The 27,354-nt window shown below is 48.3% G+C and overlaps 1 protein-coding gene across 20 annotated transcripts in view, besides 2 other annotated features; it reads left to right on the top strand.

Annotated features, from left to right (window-relative positions):
- Window positions 1-27,354, top strand: part of CUL9 (cullin 9) — a 42,392-nt gene that overhangs the window by 921 nt on the left and 14,117 nt on the right. For 6 of the 20 annotated variants that reach the window (XM_017010589.2, XM_011514423.3, XM_011514422.2 and 3 more), the window contains 24 exons: window positions 1,186-1,789; window positions 2,340-2,494; window positions 2,839-3,339; window positions 3,844-3,979; window positions 4,130-4,323; window positions 4,597-5,002; window positions 5,407-5,599; window positions 9,885-10,092; window positions 12,953-13,149; window positions 13,529-13,746; window positions 15,493-15,739; window positions 16,150-16,255; window positions 16,813-17,040; window positions 17,320-17,410; window positions 17,547-17,718; window positions 19,600-19,705; window positions 19,993-20,088; window positions 20,301-20,476; window positions 20,738-20,871; window positions 21,244-21,423; window positions 21,632-21,741; window positions 21,817-22,307; window positions 22,891-23,119; window positions 23,205-23,394. In XM_017010589.2, the coding sequence (XP_016866078.1) occupies window positions 1,195-1,789; window positions 2,340-2,494; window positions 2,839-3,339; window positions 3,844-3,979; window positions 4,130-4,323; window positions 4,597-5,002; window positions 5,407-5,599; window positions 9,885-10,092; window positions 12,953-13,149; window positions 13,529-13,746; window positions 15,493-15,739; window positions 16,150-16,255; window positions 16,813-17,040; window positions 17,320-17,410; window positions 17,547-17,718; window positions 19,600-19,705; window positions 19,993-20,088; window positions 20,301-20,476; window positions 20,738-20,871; window positions 21,244-21,423; window positions 21,632-21,741; window positions 21,817-22,307; window positions 22,891-23,119; window positions 23,205-23,394 (5,359 nt within the window). In that variant the 5' untranslated portion in view covers window positions 1,186-1,194. The other 14 variants (XM_047418475.1, NM_015089.4, XM_047418478.1 and 11 more) reach the window with 12 other exon arrangements.
- Window positions 3,264-4,463: an enhancer, noted in NCBI's record as "MED14-independent group 3 enhancer chr6:43154118-43155317 (GRCh37/hg19 assembly coordinates)". NCBI's record gives its function as "activates an origin of replication core promoter dependent on BRD2, BRD4, P300/CBP and CDK7 cofactors, and independent of MED14, by STARR-seq in HCT116 cells {active_cell/tissue: HCT116}" and the evidence as "EXISTENCE:reporter gene assay evidence [ECO:0000049][PMID:35650434]".
- Window positions 17,881-18,081: a silencer, noted in NCBI's record as "peak5812 fragment used in MPRA reporter construct". NCBI's record gives its function as "represses an SCP1 promoter by STARR-seq MPRAs in K562 erythroleukemia cells {active_cell/tissue: K562}" and the evidence as "EXISTENCE:reporter gene assay evidence [ECO:0000049][PMID:32103011]".

Below are 27,354 nucleotides of genomic sequence, written 5' to 3' on the forward strand. Positions count from 1 at the left end.
ACAGTGAGACAGAAAGCCAGAATTCAGAGTCACATTTATCTGATACTGAAGTCTCTGAATATTGCTTCTCTCCTGACCTCATTTCCTACCTTTAACCCCATGATTACCACCTCTATCTTATCTACTTAACTTACTTAAATCCTTACCATACATGCAGTATAAGGGCAGGGTGGGACCTGGTCATCTTTCCCATAATTTTATCTGGTCCCTAGGGCCCTCCCCCTTTCACAAGACTCGAATATACTTTTCCTATCCAGTCATTTGCCCCAACATCCCAGCCTTTTGTCATCTCCATTCTCTATATCTGCCATGGCCCACCCTTTACATCCACCTTGCAGCTTTACTCTGTCATTTATGCTCCCTGTCCTGCCCCTCCGCTATCCTACTTTTCCTCACATGTTCTGATCCCACTGCCTCACATGCTGCTGTCCTTCCTGTCCACCCATGTCATTCTTCTAAGTCCTAATCTGTAACCCTCAGCCACCCTGCTATCCTGCCTAAACTGTCTTGCTTAACTGTCACTCTGTTTATTGTTACTTTGCCTATTACTGTTTTAATTCTCTTTTTGTAAACTCCCCTTCCTTCCTTTCTTCCTTCCTTCCTTCCTTCCTTCCTTCCTTCCTCTCTCTCTCTTTCTTTCTTTTTTTCTTTTTTTTGACAGAATCTCACTCTGTTGCCCAGGCTGGAGTACAGTGGCGCGGTCTTGGCTCACTGCAACCTCCGCCTCCTGGGTTCAAGTGATTCTCCTGCCTCAGCCTCCTGAGTAGCTGGGACTACGGGCATGTGCCACCACACCTGGCTAATTTTTGTATTTTTAGTAGAGACGGGGTTTCACTATGTTGACCAGGCTGGACTTGAATTCCTGACCTCGTGATCTGCCCACCTTGGCCTCCTAAAGTGCTGGGATTACAGGCGTGAGCCACTGGGCGCAGCCAACTCTTCCATTTCTTAAACCCCTTCTTCATCCCCTCTCTGTCTTCACTCCATTCTCCTTCTGTTATAAATCCCAAAGTATGTTCAGCTATTTATTCCATCCTATTTTTTGCCTTTTCTGTTTGGCCTCCTAAATTCTACCATGCAGCCTACCGATCACCACCCACCTTCTCTGTGTCTCAAGATTCCACCCCCTCCATGTATTTTTTTTCTTTTCTCATACTGCCTTATCTTTCTCCTTGTGTATCCCAGGAGGTCAGGATGGTGGGGGAACGGCATGCTGGGGACCTCATGGTGCCCTTAGGGCCTCGGCTGCAGGCATATCCTGAAGAACTCATTCGACAGAGGCCTGGGCATGACGGGCATCCTGAATACCTGATCCGATGGAGTGTCCTGAAGTGTGGGGAAGTGGGCAAAGTGGGTGTGGAAGAAGGCAAAGCAGAGCACATCCTCATGTGGCTGTCGGCTCCTGAGGTCTACGCCAACTGCCCTGGGCTGTTAGGTGAGCGGGCACTATCTAAGGGACTTCAGCACGAACCAGCTGGGGTTTCAGGAAGCTTTCCTCGAGATCCAGGAGGCCTGGATGAAGTGGCAATGGGAGAGATGGAGGCTGATGTTCAGGCGCTGGTACGCAGGGCGGCCAGGCAGCTGGCAGAAAGTGGGACCCCAAGCCTCACGGCCGCTGTGCTTCACACCATCCACGTGCTCAGTGCCTACGCCAGCATCGGGCCCCTCACTGGTGTCTTCAGGGAGACAGGAGCCCTGGACCTGCTCATGCACATGTTATGCAATCCTGAGCCTCAGATCCGCCGGAGTGCAGGCAAAATGCTGCAGGCTCTGGCAGCCCACGATGCTGGTAAGAGACAGCCAGGGAAGAAGGAAAGGAATGGAGAAAATGGGGCCACAGGGAATAAGAAAGAGGAGAGATTTCCTAGCTCTGTAAGAACACCTAGTATTTGGTGAATATCAATTTGATGCAAAGGAAAAAATATAGATTAATAGGCTATTTCAGGTATATAAAGAGGCTAAAATGATAGCCTCTGGCTTATCTGTTCATTCTCAGTGCATTGACCAGAGAAGAGAATAGGACTTATCTGTATTTTTGAAACTGGATTGAGATTTATTAGTTGGTTTTGAAATCAATTTGGTGGGTTACAACCAACATTTTTTTAAAAACTTAAGTCATTAGTGTGTAGCACTTAGTAGGGGTAAATTTTGTAGCATAAAATATATGTTTCAGTTATATGTATGTATGTTTGTAACAGGTTACCATGTAAAATGTATTTCTTTCTGTGAGCCTTAGTAACAAAGTTTGAAAGCGTCTGGGGTAGGAGATAGAATCTAGGAAAGGCAGGGAGAAAGTACTGGGGATTGAGGAGAAGATATGGATTGGGTATGGATTACAGGGAGTCGGGCTCACGTCCTTCTATCACTGAGCCAGCAAGATGGCATCGAGCAGCACATGGATTTTGACAGTCGCTATACATTGCTGGAGCTGTTTGCAGAAACCACATCCTCTGAAGAACACTGCATGGCCTTTGAGGGCATTCATCTGCCTCAGGTACACTGCCAGCTGTAGGGAAATGCTGTGTACAAGGGCTAAGACATTATTTATGAAAACGTGGTTCAGGACTGAATGTTAGCACCAGAGCCACCTGGGAACTTGTTAACATGAAGGTTCATGTCCTCCCTCCCAGCCCCTCTCCATTCAGAATTTCTGAGATGAGAACCCAGGAATCTGTGTTTTAAGACACTCCCTATGCCTTTCTTACACAAATCAAAGTTTCAGAACTACAGGCCTGGGGAGAAGGCCTTTATATTTTTCTGTAGAGGAGGATACTTCAGGGAAGGGGAGAGGCTAAAGCCAGGAAGAGATGAACCTGTCCCAAGGATTGTGTCTTACAGATCCCAGGAAAGCTGCTTTTCTCCTTGGTGAAGCGCTACCTTTGTGTCACGTCCCTCCTGGATCAGCTGAATAGCAGTCCAGAGCTGGGAGCTGGAGACCAAAGCTCCCCATGTGCCACAAGAGAGAAAAGCCGGGGACAGCGGGAACTGGAGTTCAGCATGGCTGTGGGCAACCTCATCTCTGAGCTTGTGCGGAGCATGGGCTGGGCCCGGAACCTCAGCGAACAGGGCATGTCACCTCCCCGGCCAACCCGGTCCATCTTTCAGCCCTACATTTCAGGCCCCAGCCTTTTACTCCCCACCATTGTCACCACCCCCAGAAGACAAGGGTGGGTCTTCCGCCAGCGCTCTGAATTCTCCAGCCGTAGTGGCTATGGAGAATATGTGCAGCAGACACTGCAGCCAGGGATGCGAGTGCGGATGCTGGATGATTATGAGGAGATCAGTGCTGGGGACGAGGGCGAGTTCCGGCAGAGCAACAACGGCATTCCCCCTGTGCAGGTGGGCAGCACATGGTGGTGAGACACTGTTGGGAGTTTATTTGGGGTGGGGTGTAGCTGGGACTTCATAAGGAGGACTCCTGCAGGCCACCCAAGAAGAACCCCCCTGGGGAATTGGAATGATACAAGGGGGTTGGCATTTGTGCGGGGTGCATTTGGAGGGCTGAGAAAATCTGGCAGGGGTGTGGGTGGGCTGTAAGTTCATGGGAGACTCACCCAGGAAGCAGAACTGATAAATGGAGATACCTCCCCACCAACACCAGTGGAAGAGGCTAGGAAGGAATGTCGAGGCAGAGAATCATGGTTAAGAAAAGAGGCAGGGCCCACTCCTGATAAGGGAAGGAAGCCTTTTGCCATATGGGGGTTTTTCCAGGCTTAGCCAGGTGTGTATCTGAGGGTGCGCCCCAGATCTATGCTTGGGCATGTCCTTTCAAGCCTTCACAGGCCAAGGCTCAGAGGGTTGAGCCTTCTCTATTCTGCTCTCTTTCTTCCTCCCTCATACCAGGTTTTCTGGCAGTCGACAGGCCGCACTTACTGGGTGCACTGGCACATGCTGGAGATCCTGGGCCCTGAGGAAGCCACTGAGGATAAGGCTTCAGCAGCTGTGGAGAAGGGGGCAGGGGCTACTGTGTTGGGCACAGGTGAGCCTAAGAGGGGACATGGATAGCATGTCTCTGAACAGAGGATTAGTGACTGGGATGAAGCCACTTCTGACCAGGAGCAGCCCTAGGGGTCCAGAAATAGACCCCATTCCTGAGGGGTGCTGATGCCCGCCATGCCTGTGTCCTCAGCATTTCCCTCCTGGGACTGGAATCCTATGGATGGGCTGTACCCTTTGCCGTACCTCCAGCCCGAACCTCAGAAGAATGAGAGAGTGGGATATCTGACCCAGGCTGAATGGTGGGAGCTGCTTTTCTTTATCAAAAAGTTGGACTTGTGTGAGCAGCAGCCAATTTTCCAGAATCTTTGGAAGAACCTGGATGAGGTATTATAGGTCTGAGATACCTGGGGGTTTTCTAGTAGGGTTAGAGGTGGGATTCTCTAGAGGGAGTTTCAGATAGGGGTTACCGCTTAGGGGGAGGCTGGAGCTAGAGATTAGAGTTAGGAGGAGTCCTGCTGGGGGTTGGAGGCAAGTGCTGTGAGGGTCTAGTATGTAGAAGGTGTGGGGGCATGGTAGGGAGTGATCACCCTTCCCATTACTGACCCCAAGACCTTTGTGTCTGCTTGTCTCTTAAACGTATACCCCTTCTGTTGACAGACCCTGGGTGAAAAGGCCCTAGGTGAGATCTCTGTGTCCGTGGAAATGGCCGAGAGTCTGCTGCAGGTTCTCAGTAGTCGATTTGAGGGCAGCACTCTCAATGACCTGCTCAACTCCCAGATCTACACCAAGTATGGGCTGCTGTCTAATGAACCAAGCAGCTCGTCTACTTCACGAAATCACTCCTGTACCCCAGATCCAGAAGAGGAGTCCAAGTCGGAGGCCAGCTTCTCAGAGGAAGAGACTGAGTCCCTCAAAGCAAAGGCCGAGGCCCCTAAGACAGAGGCCGAGCCCACCAAGACAAGGACCGAGACCCCCATGGCACAGAGTGATTCTCAGCTGTTTAACCAGCTTCTGGTGACTGAGGGGATGACCCTGCCCACTGAGATGAAGGAGGCAGCCAGTGGTGAGTCAGGTTCTGGGAGGAAGCAATTGGAACAAGTCCTGGGTAGTCTCAGTAGAAGAAATGGATAGTCAGGATCGAAGGAAAGCCATGGAGGAAGGTGATTTTTGCAGGGGAAAATGCCTTGGAACCATGCGTCCATCTTCTTCCTTTTGACCTTGATTGTATTTAATTAACCAGCGCTCCCTTCCTTCAGTATCTCTGGAAAAGGAGGATCCGTTTTCTGGGGTGTCTTCATCTCCTTTGTTTGATCATTAGATCCCTGACACAGAATTGGAAAACTCTGCAAGCTGCAGTAGCCGATAATGTGTTTAAATATTGGTAGGATAACTGGGCTTGACTTTAAAGACTTCTAACTTCAAGGTGCCACAGTTCTTTTAGCCATTGCCTTTTCCCACCAATTTCAGAAATGGCCAGAGCCTTGCGGGGTCCCGGTCCTCGCAGCTCCCTGGATCAGCATGTGGCAGCGGTCGTGGCCACTGTGCAGATATCCAGCTTGGACACAAACCTGCAGCTTTCAGGGCTCTCTGCCCTCTCTCAGGCTGTGGAGGAGGTCACTGAGCGGGACCACCCTCTGGTCCGTCCTGACAGATCGCTGAGGTTAGCATACTGGGGAGGGAAGAGGTTTTGGTTGAAGCTGTAGGCAAAGGATGGTGGTAGCGGGGAAGGAGCTTTGAGATCACGAATTAGAAAAGCTTGGGGTGAGGGAAGGCTCAGCCTGAGGAGCAGCCGAGCAGGAGGGTTGGATGTTTTAATGGCTCGTATTCTTGGAGCACTTCTGTTATGCCAGGCACTGTGCTAGTATTTTACATGCATTCTCTCATTAAATCCACCTAACACCTGAGGAAGCGTTGGTAATATTATTATCCTACTATATGGGTGAGGAAACTGAAGCTTAGAGAATTTAAGTAACTTGCTTAGAGTTTTACAGATAGCAGAGCCAGGATTCAAACCTAGGTCTTTTTGGCTCTAGAACTGGAGTTTTTTCTCTTTCTTTTTCTTTTTTTTCTGTCCCTACGTACTTTTTTTTTTTCACATTAGACCTTAAAACCTACTTTATTTTAAATTTTTTTCTACCTTTATTTATTTATTTTTGAGACAGTCTTGCTATGTCGTCATGCTGGAGTGCAGTGGCGCGATCTCGGCTCACTGCAACCTCTGCCTCCCGGGTTCAAGGGATTCTCCCGCCTCAGCCTCCCAAGTAGCTGGGATTACAGGCACCACCACACCCAGCTAATTTTTGTACTTTTAGTAGAGACAGGGTTTCATCATGTTTGCCAGGATGGTCTCGATCTTCTGACCTCGTGATCTGCCTGCCTCGGCCTCCCAAAGTGCTGGGATTGCAGGCGTGAGCCACCGCGTCCAGCCCTCTACTTTTAAATTATACAAATAACACACAACTTATTCTCATTCTATTTATTTATTTTTATTTATTTACTTGTTTTTGAGACAGAGTCTCACTCTGTCACCCAGGCTAGAGTGCAATAGTGTGATCTTGGCTCACTGCAACCTCCGCCTCCTGGGTTCAAGCAGTTCTTATGTCTCAGCCTCCCAAGTAGCTGGGATTACAGGTGCCCACCACCAGGCCCAGCTAATTTTTGTATTTTAGTAGAGACGGGGTTTCACCCTGTTGGCCAGGCTGGTCTCGAACTCCTAACCTCAGATGATCCAGTCTCCCAAAGTGCTGGGATTACAGGTGTGAGCCACCATGCCCAGCCGCATTCTCATTTTAAAAGATCTGAAGAATGTAAAAGGACATAGGAGGGCCAAAGTCCTTTCTCACCACTGTTATCAGTCTACTATATCCTACAGATTTGCATTTGTAATTGTGTGTTTGGAAATAGAGCATTTTCTGAGTCTTTGTTTTAGTCTATGTAATCACATTCTACATGTTTCTACAACTTTTTTTTTTTTGCCCCCGCTCAGTGTCTTAGAGGGCTTTCCATATCAGTCTGGGTGGAGCTGCCTCATTATTTTTACTGCTGCATGGGACCCTGCAGTGTGGTTATCTCCAGTTTCAAGTGCAGTGTTCTAACGCGTCTGTTTTTCCTTACGTCTGCCAACACTGAATATTGTCGTCTTTTTTAATCTATCTAATTGGCAGCATTTTAAATGATTGGTATCTCTTTGTTTTAATTTCCTAGTTCTGGTAAAGTTAGGCACATTTGCATACATTTGTTCTGTTTTTTTTTTTCTATAAATATTCTGTTATTATCCTTTGCCCACTTTTTAATTGGATCTTTGCCTTTTTTAATGTATTTATAGGCATTTTGGTTATTCCTTTGTTATTTATGTTCCAGATATTTTGCTTGTCTTTTTAAAAATCATCTTAGCTCTATTTTTTGGTTATAGAATAATACATATGGTAAAAAAGTTAGAAAATTATTAAAATAAAAATTATCTGATCATATTCAAGTGAGATTGACAGAAAAAAAATCTGAAAGCCATTAAGACAGAGACAATCACTATTAACATGTTGGTAAACATCCTTACTTATTTCTCTAGTCATATGTATTACCCATGTATATTATCTGGTATATAATAAATCATGGCCATGGAAGGGGATATGTATTTCAAGCATATTTCATTCACACTGTTGTCATTATTAAACTTCTTAGAAAAGATAGATTAAAAACAGAACTTTCCCAGAAGTTCTCCTTCTGTGTTCTTTCCCCTCGTAGTTCCCGAGCCACCTCCTCAGTTGGCCTCACTGTCACTGTTAAGCAAGAGTCAATACCTGCTATTTTCTCTCCTGACCCTCACCGTGATCTAGGGACTCTAGAGGCACTTCTTCCTCTTCTTTTAGATCAGCATTTCCACTGGCCCCTTTCTCTAGCTCCTGCGCTTGTCTCGTAATTTTGTGTATAGTGTTTTTTTCATCATGCTAGAGTTTCAGACTTTTTGTTGCTACATTTTTCAGCTTTTTTATGGCTTCTAGATTTTGTGTCCTACTTAAAAGGATCTATTCTGTTCCAGAATTATAAAAATATTTTCCTATATTTTCCAAAAATACCCATGATTTTGTTTTTTTTAAATTTATTTAAAAATTCATTTGCAGTTTATTTTTGCAAATGTTGTGAAATAGAGCTCCAGCTTCAGTGTTTTCATATGGATAGCCAGGTGTCTCTAAATTGCATTGTGTGTGTGTGTGTGTGTGTGTGTGTGTGTGTGTGTGTGCGTGTTGTTTTTTTTTTTGTTTGTTTTTTTGTTTTTCAGAGACAGGGTCTCAGTCTGTTGACCGGGCTGGAGTGCAATAGCAAGATCACATAGCTCACTACAGCCTCAAACTCTTAGCCTCTAGCAACCCTTCTTGCTTATCCTCCCAAGTATCTGGGACTACAGGAATGAGCCACCACACCCAGCTAATTTTTTTTTTTTTTTTTTTTTTTTACTTTTTGTAGAGATGGGGTCTCACTATGTTGCCCAGGCTGGTTTCAAACTCTTGGCCTCAAGCAAGGCCTCAGTCAATAATTAATTAATTAATTTTGAGACAGAGTCTTGCTTTGTCGCCCAGGCTGGAGTGCAGCAGTGCAATCTCGGCTCACTGCAACCTCCGCCTCCTGGGTTCAAGCGATTCTCCTGCCTCAGCCTCCTGAATAGCTGGGATTACAGGCCTGCACCACCACGCCTGGCTAATTTTTGTATTTTTAGTAGAGATGGGGTTTTACCATGTTGGCCACATTGGTCTCGAACTCCTGACCTCAAGTGATCCACCTACCTCAGTCTCCCAAAGTGCTGGGATTACAGGTGTGTGTCACTGTGCCCAGACAACATTATATTTTAAATGGTTCTTCCTTTTTTTTTTTTTGCTGGCTTATACACCACCCTTATCTCTCTTCTCATCTATTGATCTATTTAGCTACCCTATGTCAGTTCCAGGGTTGTAGTTATTACAAGTTTATATTTATATTTTGATAATAATAGGCAAGCCTACCCCTTTTCTCTTTTTTTTTTTTTTTTTTTTGAGACAGGGTCTCACTCTGTCAGCCAGGCTGGAGTGCAGTGGCATGATCACAGCTTGCTGCTGCCTCGACCTCCCAGGCTCAGATGATCCTCCCACCTCAGCCTCCCAAGTACCTGAGACTACAGGCACAGGTCACTATGCCAGATAATTTTTTGTAGAGATGGGGTTTTGCCATGTTGCCCATGGCAAAAGCCATGGGCTCAAGCAATTTACCTGCCTCAGCCTCTCAAAGTGCTGGGATTACAGGCATGAGCTGCTGCACCTGACTACCACTATTTTTTTCTCAACATTTCCAAGGCTTGGATCTGCCTGTTGTGGTGTTTTTAAAAACCTTTTAGGCCAGCACTTTGCGAGGCCAAGGCAAGTACACTGCTTGAGGCCAGGAGTTCGAGACCAGTCTGGGAAACATAGCGAAACCCCGTCTCTACTGAAAAACAATACAAAAAATTAGCTGGGCGTGGTAGCACGCACCTGTAGTCCCAGCTACTCAAGAGGCTGAGGCTTGAGAATCACGTAAACCCAGGAGGCAGAGGTTGCAGTGAGCTGAGATCGCGCCATTGCACTCCAGCCTGGCAACAGAGCAAGACTCCATCTCAAAAACGAAAAGACAAACAAAACCACCTTTTAGGCATTTTGATTAGTATCACTTTGAATTTATAGATTTATTTGAAAAGGTGAGCCAGAGTTTATAAACATTTTTTCTAATGCCTCCTTCATTAGCCGAGGAGCCAGAGGCAGTTAGGCTGCAGAGGGGAGGGGATTGGGGTGAGACTGAAGCCAGGAGAGCAGGTTTGGGTGGGGCAGAGAGGATGGACTAGATCTTGGTGGATGGGATTGGTCAGGGAGTCCGACGGTGCCATGGCTGGGAGGTCAGGCAAGACTCCTTGGGATGGGGAGCCCCAATATCTCTTCTCTTGTCAGAGAGAAGCTAGTGAAGATGCTGGTGGAGCTGCTGACCAACCAGGTGGGAGAGAAGATGGTGGTCGTGCAGGCCCTGCGCCTCCTTTACCTGCTCATGACCAAGCACGAGTGGCGGCCGCTCTTTGCCAGGGAGGGTGGCATCTATGCTGTGCTGGTCTGCATGCAAGAATATAAGACTTCTGTCTTGGTGCAGCAGGCTGGGCTGGCGGTGAGTACATTGGGCCTGGCGGGAGAGAACAATGGGCAAGACAGGCAGACTGGGGACTACTGATCTTGAGGGGGTACTTTGGTGCTTCAGATCAGTGAGTAGACTTTGGAATGGAAAGATGCAGATGGTTTTAAGAGTTTGATCTGGACATTCTTCGGGATTAAGTGTTTGGAAAAAGGGAAAAGGGAGTTTTGGGGTTATTTTTGTTGGAGACAGGATCTTGCTATGTTGCCCAGACTGATCTTGAACTCCTGGGCTCACGTGATCCTCCCACCTCAGCCTCCCAAAGTGCTGAGATTACAGGCATAAGCCACTGTGCCAGGCCAGGAGGTTTTTTGTTTGTTTGTTTGTTTGTTTGTGATGGAGTCTCGCTTGTTGCCTAGGCTGGAGTGCAGTGGCGCTATCTCGGGTCACTACAACCTCCACCTCCTGGGTTCAAGTGATTCTCCTGCCTTAGCCTCCTGGGATTACAGGCATGAGCCACCGTGCCCAGCCCAGGCCAGGGTTAAGAATGACTCCCGGGTGTAAAATTAAGGAGCAGGGTGCATGAAGTGCCCATTTACTGAGAGAGAGAGAATGTTGCAGGAGGAGGAGATATGGGGTGAAGGTCAGGAGTTGAGTTTTCAGGTATATTGAGTGTTCCTGCCTTTTTAGTTATTATTAGGTGTCTGGTTAAAAGCTAATTTTCTAGATGTGACCATTAAACCAAAAGTATTTTTTTTTCCTCTTTTATCTAAGTGGCACCCTTACATAGAAAATACTCTGTTACTAGATTTGGGTAAAACAAAGCCAGCATTGCCATTGCCCAGAGAATCGGGAAGGAAGGCCCTTATCCAGAGTAGCTTACAGAAGAATTGGCTTCCTGGTTACTCCAGACAGAAGTGCTGGCTGGTAGGGTGGTGTGGGCAGAGGAGCTCTGTGTAGCCTGAGGGTTCCTGAGGGAGACAGGCAGGCTTCGGCCAGAGCAGTTCTGAGAATGGATTCCAGTAGTATAATGGCAGCAGCATGAACGGGAGCATGTGTCCTCTTAAAGCAGGCTGTCCCGGGAGAGGCCAGGAGGCGCTTTTCTTTTCTCTTCTCTTTTCTCTTTTTTTTTCTTTTTTCTTTTTTCTTTTCTTTTCTTTTTCTTTGACGGAGTCTTGCTCTGTAGCCCAGGCTGGAGTGCAGTGGCTCAATCTCGGCTCACTGGAACCTCTGCCTCCCGAGTTCAAGCGATTCTCCCGCCTCAGCCTCCCGAGTAGCTGGGATTACAGGCACGTGCCACCATGCCCAGCTTAATTTTTTGTATTTTTAGTAGAGACGGGGTTTCACCATGTTTGCCAGGATGGTCTCAATCTCCTGACCTCATGATCTGCCCGCCTCAGTCTCCCAAAGTGCTGGGATTACAGGTGTGAGCCATCACACCCAGCCTGGGAGGTGCTTTTCTTTATGGGACCAAGAGCAGCCAGGCATTCATAGTCCAGATCATCATGCTCAAAGAATTCCCTGATCCTCTCAAATTACGTGACCAAAACATAGCAATTGCCATCCACTATAGATCATGACAAAAAAATAAAAATAAAAATGGCTGAGTGTGGTGGCTCACGCCTGTAATCCCAGCACTTTGGGAGACCAAGGCGGGTGGATCACCTGAGGTGAGGAGTTTGAGACCAGCCTGGCCAACATGGTGAAACCCTGTCTCTACTAAAAACACAAAATTAGCCGGGCGTGGTGGTGCATGCTTGTAATCCCAGCTACTTGGGAGGCTGAGGCGGGAGAATCGCTTGAACCCAGGAGCGGGAGGTTGCTGTGAGCTGAGATTGCGCCATTGCACTCCAGCCTGGGCGACAGAGTGAGACTTCATCTCAAAAAAATCTTGCCCTGAAATAAAATTACATCATCTTGTTAATAACTTAAAGTCTACAGAACTCAGCTAACTAGGGGAGGGTGGTGTAACTACAGGGAGAAAGCTTCATTGAGAAGTAGAAGTTGCTTGGAGGGTCCAGGCCTTACAAGAGGCATTGTCCTGAGAATTATTTCTAGCCCAGTCCATCTCTCATGGGTTTCTTGTAGAGAATCAACCCTTTTACCAGGAGAGACATTCTCCACTCTGATTGTATAGTGTCTATTTTAATTTAATTTTTCTCTATAGTCCCAGCAAACAGGTTTGCACATTACAATTATTTTTCCTATAATGCCAACCACTGCCTGTGAGACAACCAAGAAGTCTTATCTAGAAGGGCTGGATGCTGGCTAAGGCCAGGAGACACAGGTTTTGGAGACTTGGTGTATAGGTGGTAATTGAAGCAATGTGAATGGACCTGGTTGCCTCAGTGTGGGTGAGTGCAGAGTCCAGAGAAAGGGGACAAGGAACCTTAGTTCCTTGGGGCAAAGGAACACCAGAGAGGTAGGAGAAAAGCCAGGAGGATGTGAAGTCATGGAACTCAAGGGAAGAGAGATTTTGCAAAGGAAGGAGTGCAAGTGAGATGGGAGACAACTGTAAGAAGCCCCTGAAGACAACTAGATGCTGCGAGGGGCACCATCCTGAAGGGAAGATACAGGAGGGGCGGCTGTCCCACTCTGGTAGCCTTGGTGCTGCGAGCCTGGAGGCCAAGAGGAGTGGAAGGCTGATTTTACCATCCAGTCTCAGAGTTTTTTGTTGTTGTTTAGTTTCTTTCCTTTTTTCTTTTCCTTCCTCCCTCCCTCCTTCCCTCTCTTTGTAGTATTTGATGTCCCATCACTACCTCTTCCATTTCTGTCTCCTACTCTACCTATCTGCAAACAGCTCAGCTGCCCCAAAGTTTGAGGTCTAGAATGAGGCCTACCTTTCCTCATGGTGACTCTGCCCCCTCCTCACTCTGCTTTCACATCCCCCTCACAGGCACTGAAGATGCTGGCCGTCGCCAGCTCCTCGGAGATCCCCACTTTTGTTACTGGCCGAGATTCTATCCACTCTTTGTTTGATGCTCAGATGACCAGAGAGATCTTCGCCAGCATCGACTCAGCCACACGCCCGGGCTCTGAGAGCCTGCTCCTCACTGTCCCTGCAGCCGTGATCCTGATGCTGAATACTGAGGGGTCAGGGCATTACCTTCCCAACTCCAGGCTCCTGCTTAGTCCCAAACCCTGCTACTCCTGTGCTCCAGGCTCATGTACTCCACAGAAATTCCCCTCACGCTGTCACCTCCGGATTAAGCATTGGTGGCGCTGCCAACTGTTGTTGGAGGAGAACCCAAGTGGATTGGGGATAGGGAGATTCCCAGAGAGGGCAGAGACACACTGACTTCCCTTTATGGGTTTGGGAGGAGTGGCCCAAGGTCAGGGGATCAGATGTCCTGGCTCAGAGGGCCCACTGGAGCCCTTTGCTCCCTAGCTGCCCGGCCTTCTATGCTTGCTTTGCTGCTTCCATTGCATTCATGGTCTCTCAGTTTCTTCCTGGTCACCTCCCTCCTCCCAGGTGCTCTTCTGCAGCGAGAAATGGCTTACTCCTGCTCAACCTACTTTTGTGCAACCACCACACTCTGGGAGACCAGATTATAACCCAAGAGCTGAGAGACACGTTGTTTAGGCACTCAGGGATAGCACCAAGAACAGAACCTATGCCTACCACACGCACCATCCTCATGATGCTTCTCAATCGCTACTCAGAGCCGCCGGGCAGCCCTGAGCGTGCAGGTACCATTGTGGAGGGGTGGTTTTGCAGAGGAATCACACAGTGCCAGCCAGGTTTACATATCAGCTCCTTACTGGAAAGATACAAGGAAACTTCAGGAAATGAGCAAGCATTGTGCTCAAGTTAGGTCTTAAGTAGAACTTCCCGACCAAGAAGAGGGAGACTGTGGAATATGTGCAAGGAAATTGCATTTTTTTTTTTTTGAGATGGAGTTTTGCTCTTGTTTCCCAGGCTAGAGTGCAGTGGCACGATCTCGACTCACTGTAACCTCTGCTTCCTGGGTTCAAGCAATTCTCATGCCTCAGCCTCCTGTGTAGCTGGGATTATAGGCACCTGCCACCACAGCGGGCTAATTTTTGTATTTTTAGTAGAGACAGGGTTTCACCATGTTGGCCAGGCTGATCTGGAACTCCTGACCTCAGGAGATCCACTGCCTCGGCCTCCCAAAGTGCTGGGATTGCAGGTGTGAGCCACTGCACCTGGCTGGAAATTGCCTTCTTGAATGGCTTTAAACATATGTGGATTCATATCCATCTGGGCTAGGTTTGGCCCAGTATTATTGGACAGTAGAAGACTCATTGAAATGACATCTAGGGAAGCCTTTCTCTTTTTTTGTTTTAAGCTTAACTGGTTTTTTTTTGGAGGTGGAGTCTCACTCTGTCGCCCAGGCTGGAATGCAGTTGCACGATCTCTGCTCACTGCAAGCTCCGCCTCCCGGGTTCAAGGAATTCTCCTGCCTCAGCCTCCTGAGTAGCTGGGATTACAGGTGCGCACCACCACACCCAGCTAATTTTTGTATATTTAGTAGAGACAGGGTTTCACCATGTTGGTCAGGCCGGTTTTGAACTCCTGACCTCGTGATCTGACCGCCTTGGCCTCCCAAAGTGCTGGGATTAGAGGCGTGAGCCACTGTGCCTGGCCTAAGCTTAACTTTCTCTTCACAGAATAGGGAGGCCTTCTTAAGAGAAATTATAATTTATGGTACAGAACACTTGTGCCTGGAAACATTAGATATTGATACTGGGGAAGAAACCCTTTGTGATTGAAAAACAAGTGAAAACCTAGAAGTGTGGAGGGATATTGAAATAGGAAATACGTGGCCAGGTGCAATAGCTCATGCCTTTAATCCCAGCACTTTGGGAGGCTGAGGCAGGCAGATCACTTGAGGTCAGCAGTTTGAGACCAGCCCGGCCAACATGGTGAAACCGCATCTTTACTAAAAATACAAAAATTAGCCGGGCACGGTGGTAGGTGCTTGTAATCCCAGCTACTTGGGAGGCTGAGGCAGGAGAATCACTTGAGCCCAGGAGTTGGAGGTCACAGTGAGCCAAGATCATGCCACTGCACTCCAGCCTGGGTGACAGCGCTCTGTGTATTCCTACAAAATAGGAAATATGTATGTATCTTTTAGTCTGTGTACCTAAAGCCACCATGCAGGTAGTACAGGGATATAATCATCATAGTTAATATTTACTATAACTAACATTTAATAATAGGACTATAAGAGATTTAAAATGTCTTGTGTTTAACTCGACAGTGTTTGCTATACTAGGTTTTTTTTTCAAATCTGATTAGGTTTGTATTTGGGGTCAGGAAAGAAAACCCCTCATAGTTTGGTTAAAAACTATAGACATCCTCAATATAGAAGGAAAATTTTGGGGTGATTTTCTGGACCTTCCCAGTTCTCAGTTTGACAAACTGGTAAGACTCTTCATCCACATTTTTCCCTCTGGTGTGTCTGGCTGCAGCACTAGAGACCCCCATCATCCAGGGTCAGGATGGGTCCCCTGAGCTACTGATTCGATCCCTGGTTGGGGGCCCATCTGCAGAACTACTCCTGGACTTGGAGCGTGTGCTGTGCCGTGAGGGCAGCCCCGGAGGTGCCGTGAGGCCCCTCCTCAAGCGCCTCCAGCAGGAGACCCAGCCTTTCCTCCTGTTGCTGCGGACTCTGGATGCTCCGGGGCCCAACAAGACTCTGCTGCTGTCTGTGCTGAGGTGAGGGGCCTGTTGAGGCACCATGCATTGGGACGAGGGAAACTGGCAGACTTCAGGGACTTCACTTGTTTCTTTTCTGTTTTCTTTTTTTTTTTTTTGAGTTGGAGTTTCACTCTTGTTGCCCAGGCTGGAGTGCAATGGCACGATCTCAGCTCACTGCAACCTCTACCTCCCAGGTTCAAGTGGTTCTCCTGCCTCAGCCTCCCGAGTAGCTGGGATTGCAGGCATGTGCCACCATGCCCAGCTAATTTTGTATTTTTAGTAGAGATGGGGTTTCTCCATTTTGGTCAGGCTGGTCTCGAACTCCCGACCTCAGGTGATCCGCCCACTTCGGCCTCCCAAAGTGCTGGGATTACAGGCATGAGCCACTGTGCCTGGCCTGACTTCACTCGTTTCTACCCCCTCACCAGGGTCATAACCCGACTGCTGGATTTCCCTGAGGCAATGGTCCTCCCCTGGCACGAGGTCTTGGAGCCCTGCCTCAACTGCCTGAGTGGCCCTAGCAGTGACTCCGAGGTACCAGAACCCTGGCAAGGAGAAGAGAGGGAAGGGCAGCATCTGGGGCACCAACTCCTTGTGAGGCTCTGGAGGGCACAGCAGAGCCTTTCTGAATGGATCTTGGGGCACTGGGATGGGTGTAGGAGGAGGAAGGGTAATGTAATCTAAGAATCTCCAGAACTGGAATCTTTGAAGTATAAACCTTTTAGATGATTTTAGATTTGGAGTTTAGATTCTGGACTAAGGAGAAGCCCACATTCACCAATCCAGACAGCTGTCCTCCCTTCCGGGTTTGTGCATTGGAGAGCAAGGCTCAGGCACCAGGGTTAACATAGCTTGGCCTGGGCAGGAAGCAGCCTGGAAAGCTGTGCCCAAGCTCTGTTCTGCCAACTCACTCTGGAGTCCCAGCACTCCTCTATTTTACTCCACCCTGAATTTGGTACTCTTGTTTCCCTGGGCGTTGGCATGTCTCCACAATCTCAGCCACGACACTTCCTTTACTGAACCCTCTCCTCAATCCTTACATGTCCTACCTCTTGTTTCCTGTAAATTAATCTATGTGGCTCTGGGCTCAGATTGTTCAGGAGCTGACCTGCTTCCTACATCGCCTGGCCTCGATGCATAAGGACTATGCTGTGGTGCTCTGCTGCCTGGGAGCAAAAGAGATCCTCTCCAAAGTCCTGGACAAGCACTCAGCTCAGCTGCTGCTGGGCTGTGAGCTTCGGGACCTGGTGACAGAGTGTGAGAAGTACGCACAGCTCTATAGCAACCTCACCTCCAGCATCCTGGCCGGCTGCATTCAGGTGAGGAGCGGCTGTGGGTATGCAGCTGAGAGAATGCAAGTCAGAAGCAGGAGAAGGGGATTCACTGTGTTCCTCTTTGGTATCCCTGTTTGGCACAGGTTGTAGCAAATCTGGGGCACTTGTTTCCTAACCTTGACTCCACATGGTTCTGTCAAAATGTGGGGAGAGAGGAGTTGAGTATACCGTTGACCCTTGACTTTTTCTCTCTACCTGTTTCTGGGCATTTCTCTGTGTTCCTCCCTCTCCTCTTCCTCATTCTCCCTGATGTTCCGGCTGCAGATGGTGCTGGGCCAGATCGAAGACCACAGACGAACCCACCAACCCATCAATATCCCCTTCTTTGATGTGTTCCTCAGGCATCTCTGCCAGGGTTAGTGCCCTCATCTGCTTTCTCCTGGCTCCCATCCAGTGTCTGTTCTCCCCTTCCCTTCCTGCTCCTTAGACCTTTTCCTTTTTCCTCTCAACTAACCTAGCTGTGACTGCCACCCCTTCCCACTTGCCCCCAGGCTCCAGTGTGGAAGTGAAGGAGGACAAGTGCTGGGAGAAGGTGGAGGTGTCCTCCAACCCGCACCGAGCCAGCAAGCTGACGGACCACAACCCCAAGACCTACTGGGAGTCCAACGGCAGCACCGGCTCCCACTACATCACCCTGCACATGCACCGTGGTGTTCTTGTTAGGTGTGAACACACATATATGAATGTTCTGCTGTGCCCCAGGATACTTCCCCAAAGCACCCAGATACACACAACCCCAGCTATAACCCCAATGCCTGAGGGACACACTCAAACCTATTTTGTGCAGTGAACACATAGACACATTGACCTGCCTTTGCTGAGTATAGACATCCCCTCACTCCCAGAGTCTGGTGATCTGTACTCCAACAGGTACAGATGGCACTGCCCTGTGCTTAGTGTTGAGGGAGATAAACAGCTCACTTATCCATTTCTCCTTTGGGCATTTGCTTAATGCCAGGCATTTGTGTCAGGCACTGTGCAAGGGTCTCGAAATAGAAGGACAATAAGATATGGTACCTACATTCCAGCTGGGGAGCTACACTAGAAAATCAAGTAAGAGCACAGAGTAAGAAAAAGCATTGTGGTCCACATGTGGACCTGAGACTGACAGGCATGAGAGCAGACTTCCTTCTGGAAGGAGGGGGTGACTGAGCTGGGTTTTGACATTGAAATTAGGTAGATAAAGAGGGGGCAATATTCTAGGCATAAGGACAGCATATGTGCAAAATGGAAGTAAGAAAGTATATTTGGAGGGACTTTAAGTCATCATATTTGGTTACAATTGAAAGCTGTGTATATCTTTATTTTTATTTTTTTATATTTTTTGAGATGGAGTCTCGCTCTGCCGCCCAGGCTGGAGTACAGTGGTGTGATCTCAGCTCACTGCAACTTCTGCCTCCCGGGTTCACCCCATTCTCCTGTCTCAGCCTCCCGAGTAGCTGGGACTACAGGCGCCTGCCACCACGCCTGGCTAATTTTTTGTATTTTTAGTAGAGACGGGGTTTCACCGTGTTAGTCAGGATGGTCTCGATCTCCTGACCTCGTGATCCGCCCGCCTTGGCCTCCCAAAGTGCTGGGATTACAGGCGTGAACCACTGCGCCCGGCCGAAAGCTGTGTATGTCTAAGTGGCGGAAGATACAGGCCAGAAAAGTAGGCAAAGGCAGATCACAAAATGTTTTGTGAGCTAAGCAGTTTGAACTTTATTCCAAAAGTTGGGAGAGCCATTGGAAGATTTTAAGAAGGGAGGAGAGAAAACTAGATTTTTTATTGAGAAAGCTCACTCTGGCAACTATGGGAGTTTGCGCTGGAGGTAGAAGAAGGAGGTGGAAGGTGTATGCAGTGCTCTAGTAGAGAAAGGATCCATGTGTTCAGTTAGACAGCAGGAGTGGGAACTGACTGGGAAATCCTCAGAGATGGAGTCCACAAGACTTGCCTTTGGGTGAGGGAAGCCATGAGAAGGTGAAGGCCTCAGTGACAGTATTCTAGTTGAGTACTGAGTGCACGGAAGTTTTATTTCCCAGGAGAGAAACAGGAAGCGGGACAGGTTTATGTGGACAGATGATCATTTCATTTGGGCATGATGACTCTGAGGTGCCTGTGGGACATGACATGGAAATACCTGTTGGGGACACAGCATGAAAGCTCAGGAGAGTGGTCTGGGATAGAGATGTGTATTTGGAGTCCTCTGTGTATTAATTTTCAGTTGAAACTGTGGGTTTAAATTAAGTCACTTTGGGTGAATATAGAGGGAAGAGCAGAGGGTCTAGTGGGGACAGCTGCCTCAGGAGCCAGCAGAGGAACAGGAGCCTGAGAAAGAAGTGGTGGCTTGAAATAGTTTTGAACTGAAACCAGGGCTCTGGCCTTTTTATTTCCTTCTTTTGATTTTTATTTCGTAGAGGTGGGGTCTTGCAGTGTTGCCCAGGTTGATCTTAAACTAGCCTCAAGCGATCCTCCCACCTCAGCCTCCCAAAGTGTTGGGATTACAGATGTGAGCCACCACGTCCAGAGGCCCAGCTTTGACTGTTTCCTTTCTTCTTTCCCAGGCAGCTCACTTTGCTGGTGGCCAGTGAGGACTCAAGCTACATGCCAGCCAGGGTGGTGGTGTTTGGGGGTGACAGCACCAGCTGCATCGGCACTGAGCTCAACACGGTGGGGACCCTTGTGCCCACCTTCACCTTGCTCCACATCCTTCTTTTTGTCCCAGTGCCTGTGGGAAGGACCTAGTCCCTGGGGAATGGTGACATCCCTTCCCCTTGGGAAGGTGTTGCCTTGTAAGCAGTGAGAGTGGGATTAGGGATGCAGAGCCACGTCCATCCCTAGGCTCTGCGGGAGAAGTGAAGGGCACACACCATGACCGACTTGGTTACTGTCAACAATTTTTCCAACCTTGTTTCTGGAGGTGACAGTTCTCTCCCTCTTCTCCCCTGCCCTACCAGGTGAATGTGATGCCCTCTGCCAGCCGGGTGATCCTCTTGGAGAACCTGAACCGCTTCTGGCCCATCATCCAGATCCGCATAAAGCGCTGCCAGCAGGTGGTGTTAGGGTGTCAGCCAGGGCTGAGGAGGAGGAGGTGGCACACAAGTTTCTCCTTGATCTGCTTGGGAGATGGCCCAGGACCTGTTGAGTCCCAGAGATGTGGGGATGTCCTGAGCAGTTCTAGGGAGCTCAGGGCAGGAGGCTTGGCTTTGGTAGTACTTAGTGGCTCAAGCGGCTTGGGTGACAGATAAGTCTGTGCATGTTCCAGGGCGGCATTGACACCCGGGTTCGGGGTGTGGAGGTCCTGGGCCCTAAGCCCACATTCTGGCCACTGTTCCGGGAGCAGCTGTGTCGCCGAACATGTCTCTTCTACACAATTCGGGCACAAGCCTGGAGCCGGGACATAGCAGAGGACCACCGGCGCCTCCTCCAGCTCTGTCCCAGGTGGGTGGGGCCTGAGGAGGGAAGATGGGTAAGGGAACAGGACACTGTGAGAAGTAGGAGGGATGCTCCTGTGGGAGTCCGGAAGGGAAAGCTGCAGCCAGGACATGAGGGGGAAGGTGAACGTAGGTGAGAAGTTTGTGTTAATTGGGAAAAGTTGGGTCAGGGACCGAACAGGGGTGATTGGGAGCTGATCTGCACTTGAATGGAGGCCTCTGGGAAATCGGTGCCATTAATCCTCCGCCATGCACTGTTTGTTCCCAGACTGAACAGGGTTTTGCGCCACGAGCAGAATTTTGCTGACCGCTTCCTCCCTGATGATGAGGCCGCCCAGGCACTGGGCAAGACCTGCTGGGAGGCCCTGGTCAGCCCCCTGGTGCAGAACATCACCTCTCCCGGTAACCATGCTGACACCTGGCCCCACTAACCAGTTCCTTGTCCTTATTCCCAGGGATCACCTGAGTTAATGCTCTTGGTTCTTTTGGTTCCTGTCTTTATCCCTGAAGGCCTGTCACCTCAGTGTTCCTCTCTCCTTCCTGCCCCAGGCACTGCTCCCTGAGACTCTGGTATTTGAATCTTTCCCACTACCCCATCCCCACCCTGTTAACATTTCCCCTGACTCCAGCTGAAACAAACCTTGGTGAGGGGAGGACTAGGGCCCCACTACCCCTCAAGCCTTTTTGTACAATTGATCTTTCTCCCTCCTCTGCCCTGAGCTGTCTGTTCTCCCATCTCCCATGGAGACCTGTTCCTGACCTGTCTTCTTTCAGATGCGGAAGGCGTGAGTGCCCTGGGATGGCTGCTGGATCAGTACTTAGAACAGAGAGAGACCTCTCGGAACCCCTTGAGTCGAGCAGCGTCCTTTGCTTCTCGAGTTCGTCGCCTTTGCCACTTGCTGGTGCATGTGGAACCTCCTCCTGGGCCTTCTCCTGAGCCATCCACTCGGCCCTGTAAGTCCCAGCTGTGGCCAGTGGAGCTGACTCTGCGGACAGTGGTGTATCTGGCTCCCTCCTCCCTGGGTCTTACTCTTGCTGCTTTGCTACCGGCCTTTCCAGGCCCCTGAGACCTACTGGCCTTTCCAGGAGATCACTACCCAAGACCGGTGTACTCACCCAGAGGCTGAGATGAAACCCCTTCCTTCTCCCTCTGTCTCTACAGTCAGCAAGAACAGCAAGGGTCGGGACCGGAGCCCGGCGCCTTCGCCAGTGCTTCCAAGCAGCAGCCTGAGGAACATAACCCAGTGCTGGCTGAGCGTGGTGCAGGAGCAGGTGGGCAGAAGCAAGCAGAAGTCTGCAGAGGGGAGGGGCTGCTCCTTTTATGTCATTTCTTGCCTTTCTCCTCAGGTCAGCAGATTCCTGGCTGCAGCTTGGAGGGCCCCAGACTTTGTGCCTCGTTACTGTAAACTCTATGAGCACTTGCAGAGAGCAGGCTCCGAGCTGTTTGGGCCTCGGGCAGCCTTCATGCTGGCTCTGCGCAGTGGCTTCTCTGGCGCCTTGCTGCAGCAGTCCTTCCTCACTGCTGCTCACGTGAGTCCCACCAGCTCCCCACAGGGCTATAAGCTTGTGTTCCAAGTTCATCTCTTTCTGCTCTGCCCTTTCACCTCCTTTCGCTCCCCAGTCTCCTACTCCACTCCCTCATTCATGGTTTGCTCATGCCCTTTCCCCTGCCCCCAGATGAGTGAGCAGTTTGCCAGGTACATTGACCAACAGATCCAGGGTGGCCTGATTGGTGGAGCCCCTGGAGTGGAAATGCTGGGGCAGCTTCAGCGGCACCTGGAACCCATTATGGTCCTTTCTGGTCTGGAACTGGCCACAACTTTTGAGCACTTCTATCAGTGAGTGCAGGTCTGGAGGCATAGGGGATGGGAGGCCTAGATCTAGAGAGTGGAAAGATTTGAGTCTTATAGGGGAGATGAGAAAAGAGGCTGTGTAGAGGAGAGATTAAGATGTGGAGATGGCTGGCCAGGCGCGGTGGCTCACGCATGTAATCCCAGCATTCTGGCAGGCAGATCACCTGAGGTCAGGAGTTCAAGACCAGCCTGACCAACATGGTGAAACCCTTTCTCTACTAAAAATACAAAAATTAGCCAGGTGTGGTGGCGTGGTGGCAGGCACCTGTAATCCCAGCTATTCGGGAGGGTGAGGCAGGTGAATCTCTTGAACCCGGGAGGCAGAGGTTGCAGTGAGCCAAGACCACGTCATTGCACTTCAGCCTGGGTGACAAGAGCAAGACTCCGTCTCAAAAAAAAAAAAAAAAAGTGGAGGTGGTCATGCATTGGTGGAAAGGGAGTGGGAAAGAAGAGGTGAGGTAGGGTATGTGACTCAGGCAGAGGGACAGAGGGACCTACATTCTCGAGGGGGAGGCTGGGCCACGCTGGCACCCACACTGAGGCTTGGCCCGGGCTGTGTGTGCTGCAGGCATTATATGGCGGACCGTCTCCTGAGCTTTGGTTCGAGCTGGCTGGAGGGGGCTGTGCTAGAGCAGATTGGCCTCTGTTTTCCCAACCGCCTCCCACAGCTGATGCTGCAGAGCCTGAGCACCTCTGAGGAGCTGCAGCGCCAGTTCCACCTCTTCCAGCTCCAGCGGCTCGACAAGTTGTTCTTGGAGCAGGAAGATGAGGAGGAAAAGAGACTAGAGGAAGAGGAGGTAAGAGCAGGGAGAATAGGAGAGTGAGAGAAGACTAGACCAAGGAAGGGAGCCCAAGGGCCCTTGAAATCCTTCTGTCCCTCAGGAGGAAGAGGAGGAAGAGGAAGCTGAGAAAGAATTATTTATCGAAGATCCAAGTCCAGCCATTTCTATACTGGTCCTGTCACCACGCTGCTGGCCCGTCTCCCCACTCTGCTACCTGTACCATCCCAGAAAGTGCCTTCCCACAGAATTCTGTGATGCCCTTGACCGTTTCTCCAGTTTCTACAGCCAGAGTGAGGAACTAGGGAGAGGAAATTGGAGATCGGGGTGAGATTCGGGGTGGCAAGAGAGGAAGAGGAGAGGACCTTTGGACAGGATATAGATGTGAAGAAAAATATCAGCTCCTAGCGAGGGATGAGAAAGCATGGGTTGTAGTTTCATTAATTTCTGCTCTCATCAGTTTCTTCAACTTTCTATGAATTTGTTCTGTTTTCTTTTTCTAACTTCAAGTGAGGTGCTTATTTGATTTTTAGTCTTTTCAGACTTTTTTCCAAATAAAAGTGTTTAAGACTATTCATTTCCCTCTCAATACTGCTTTAGTGGCATCCTATAAAGTTTTAAAAGATTTTTTTTCTTTATTTTTTTGACATGGAGTCTCACTCTGTCACCCAGACCAGAGTGCAGTGGTGTAATCTCTGCTCACTGCAGCCTCTACCTCCCGGGTTCAAGCGATTCTCCTGTCTCAGCCTCCCAAGTAGCTGGGACTACAGGCGTATGCCACCACACCCGGCTAATTGTGTATTTTTAGTAGTGACGGGGTTTCACCATGTTAACCAGGCTGGTCTCAAACTCCTGACCTCAGGTGATCCACCCGCCTCAGTGAGCCACTGTGCCCGGCCAAAAAGATTTTTTAGATTGGGATATAACTAGTATTCAGTAAAGTGCACACGTCTTAATTATAAGGCTTCATGAATTATTATATTCATATACACCCATGTATCTACCTCCCTCATACCCCCATCAAGATACAGAACATTTCCAGCATCGTAGAAGGCTGTCTCCTTCATGCCCCCTTTCCAGTCAATGTCTTCTTCCAGGAGAAATCATTATTTTTAACCTTTATCACCATAGATTTGTGCCTGTATTTGAACATCATATAAATGGAATCATACAGTATTCTGCTGTGTCTGATGTCTTTCACGAAACATACTGTCTGTGAGGGTTATTCAGGTTGTCAAGGGTATCATTAGTTTATTCATTTATTTTGCTGAGTCATATTCCATTGTATGGATGTATTTACCCTTTCTGCTGTTTATGGGCATTTGGGATGTTCTGTAAGTTTTTATTACGTATTATTTTTATTATTGTTTAGTTCTAAGAATTGTTAAATTTCTATTATTATTTCTTTATTTTGTTTTTCAGAAGAATATATATTTTAATTTCCAAACAAGTTTTTCTTTGTTTAATTTTTTTTTGTTTTATATTTCTAACCTCATTCCCCTGTGGCCAAAGAGCATGGTTTCTATGATTCTGAATCTTTGCAGTTTATTGAGACTTCGTTATGGCCTGGTAGATGGTCATATTTTACCTGTTTCATGTATGATTAAGAAGAATGTGTATTCTTAACTGGATTCTACATATTTCACCAAATTGACCTTGTTAATTGTTTTGTTCACATCTTCTGTAAAGTTACTAGTTTTTGTCTACTTGATCTACTACTGAGAGAGGTGTGCTAAAATCTACCACTATGATGGTGAATTTTTTAAAACCGCTAATCATACTGGTTTAACTGTATATATATTTTTTGGCTATTTTGTTAGAAGGTTAAAATAGTTTAACAGTGCTATCCAGTAGAACTTTCTGCAATGATTGAAAAATTCTTTTCTGCACCGTTCAGTATGATAGTCATTGGTGGCAATTAAGTACTTGGAATGTGGCTAATATAACTGAGGAACTAAATAATTTAATTGTAATCAGTTTATTATTTTATTTTAATTTTTTTGAGACAGAGTCTCACTCTGTCACCCAGGCTGGAGTACAGTGGCTTGATCTTGGCTCACTGCAACCTCCGCCTCCTGGGTTCAAGCAATTCTCCTGCCTCACTCAGCCTCCCGATTAGCTGGGATTACAGGTGTGCACCACTATGCCTGGCTAATTTTTGTATTTTTAGTAAAGACGAGGTTTCACCATGTTGGCCAGGCTAGTCTCAAACTCCTGGCCTCAGGTGGTCCAGCTGCCTTGGCCTCTCAAATTGCTGGGATTATAGGCGTGAGCCACTGTGCTCGGCTGTAATCAGTTTAAATTTAAATAGTTACATGTGGCTAATGGCTACTATGATGGACCATGCAGGTTTAGAAATTCCAGAGTCAATGAAACATTATTATGAAGTGACATTCTTTCTTTCTAATAAAGCTTTTTCTCTAGAAGTCTGTTTTTCTCTGGTATTAATAGTATACCAGCTTTCTTTGGTTACTGGCTTTCCAGTTTATATTTTTCTATCTTTAGCTTTTTGTTTTTGCATGGAGAGAAGTTCTTAATCTTTTGCATACCTTTTTTTAAATTATGGTAAAATATATCTAGCGTAACATTTGCCATTTTAACCATTCAAAGTATACAATTTGTCCTTTTACTTGTATTTTTTGAGAGGGGGTGTCACTCTGTCATCCAGGCTGGAGTGCAGTGTCACGATCTCAGGTGGCTAGCTGCAACCTCCGCCTCCCAGGCTCAAGTGATCCTCCCATCTCAGTCTCCCAAGTAGCTGGGACTATAGGTGTGCACCACCACTCCCAGCTAATTTTTGTAGAAACAGAGTTTCACTATGTTGGCCAGGCTGTTCTCGAACTCCTGCCTCAGCCTCCCAAAGTGCTGGGATTACAGACATGAGCCACTGTGCCCAGCCTCCATATTCTAATTTTTTCTTTCTTTCTTTCTTTTTTTTTTTTTTTGGAAACGGAGTCTCACTGTGTCGCCCAGGCTGGAGTGTAGTGGCGTGATCTCAGCTCACTGCAAGCTCTGCCTCCCGGGTTCACACCATTCTCCCGCCTCAGTCTCCCAAGTAGCTGGGACTACAGGTACCTGCCACCACGCCTGGCTAATTTTGTTTTTGTATTTTTAGTAGAGACAGGGTTTCACCATGTTAGCCAGGATGGTCTCGATCTCCTGACCTCGTGATTTGCCTGCCTCAGCCTCCTGAAGTGCTGGGATTACAGGCGTGAGCCACCGTGCCCGGCCATTCTAATTTTTTCAACTGACCCATAATGTTTTCTATGACTTCATTTTTTTGTCCAGGACAGGATCAGTCTAGGATCACCTGTTAACATTTAGTTGGCATGTCTCTTTAGTCTCCTTTAATCTGGAACAGTTCCCCATCCTTTCTTTCTTTGTCTTTTATGACATTGAGATTTCTGGAGAATACGGTCCTTTTCTTTTCTTTCTTTCTTTTTTTTGAGACAGAGCCTTGCACTGTCGCCCAGACTGGAGTGCAGTGGCTCAATCCCAGCTCACTGCAACCTCTGCCTCCTGGGTTCAAGTGATTCTCCTGCCTCAGCCTCCAGAGCAACTGGGACCATAGGCGTGTGCCACCACACCTGGCTAATTTTTTTGTATTTTTAGTAGAGACAAGGTTTTACCATATTGGCCAGGCTGTTCTCAAACTCCTGACCTTGTGATCTGTCTGCCTCAGCCTCCCAAAGTGCTGGGATTACAGGCATGAGCCACCGCATCCGGACCCTTTTGTACTTTTTATTTTATTTTGTTTTTATTTTTTATTTATTTTTTTGAGATGGAGGCTTGCTCTGTTGCCCAGGCTGGTGTGCAATGGTGCGATCTCAGCTCACTGCAACCTCCGCCTCCCAGGCTCAAGCCAATTCTCCTGCCTCAGCCTCCCGAGTAGCTGGGATTACAGGTGCCCACCACCATGCCTGGCTAATTTTTGTATTTTTAGTAGAGATGGGGTTTCACCATGTTGGCCAGTCTGGTCTCGAACTCCTGACCTTGTGAACTGCCCACCTTGGCCTGCCAAAGTCTGGGACTACAGGCGTGAGCCACCATGCCTGGCCGACATTTTTAAAATGGTTCCTTGTTTTAAGTTTGTATGATATTTCCTTGTGATTAGATTCAGGTTATGCATTCCCAGGCAAAATACTAAGTATGTGGCAGGCATGTACTTCCCAAGGCTTTACACCCTGGAGCACACAGTTTTCATCTGCCCCTTCTTTATCTGTTAATTTTGTCAACCTAGCCAAGAGATTGTT

Source organism: Homo sapiens, chromosome 6 (genome assembly GCF_000001405.40).
Source record: "Homo sapiens chromosome 6, GRCh38.p14 Primary Assembly".
Lineage (NCBI taxonomy): Eukaryota > Metazoa > Chordata > Mammalia > Primates > Hominidae > Homo > Homo sapiens.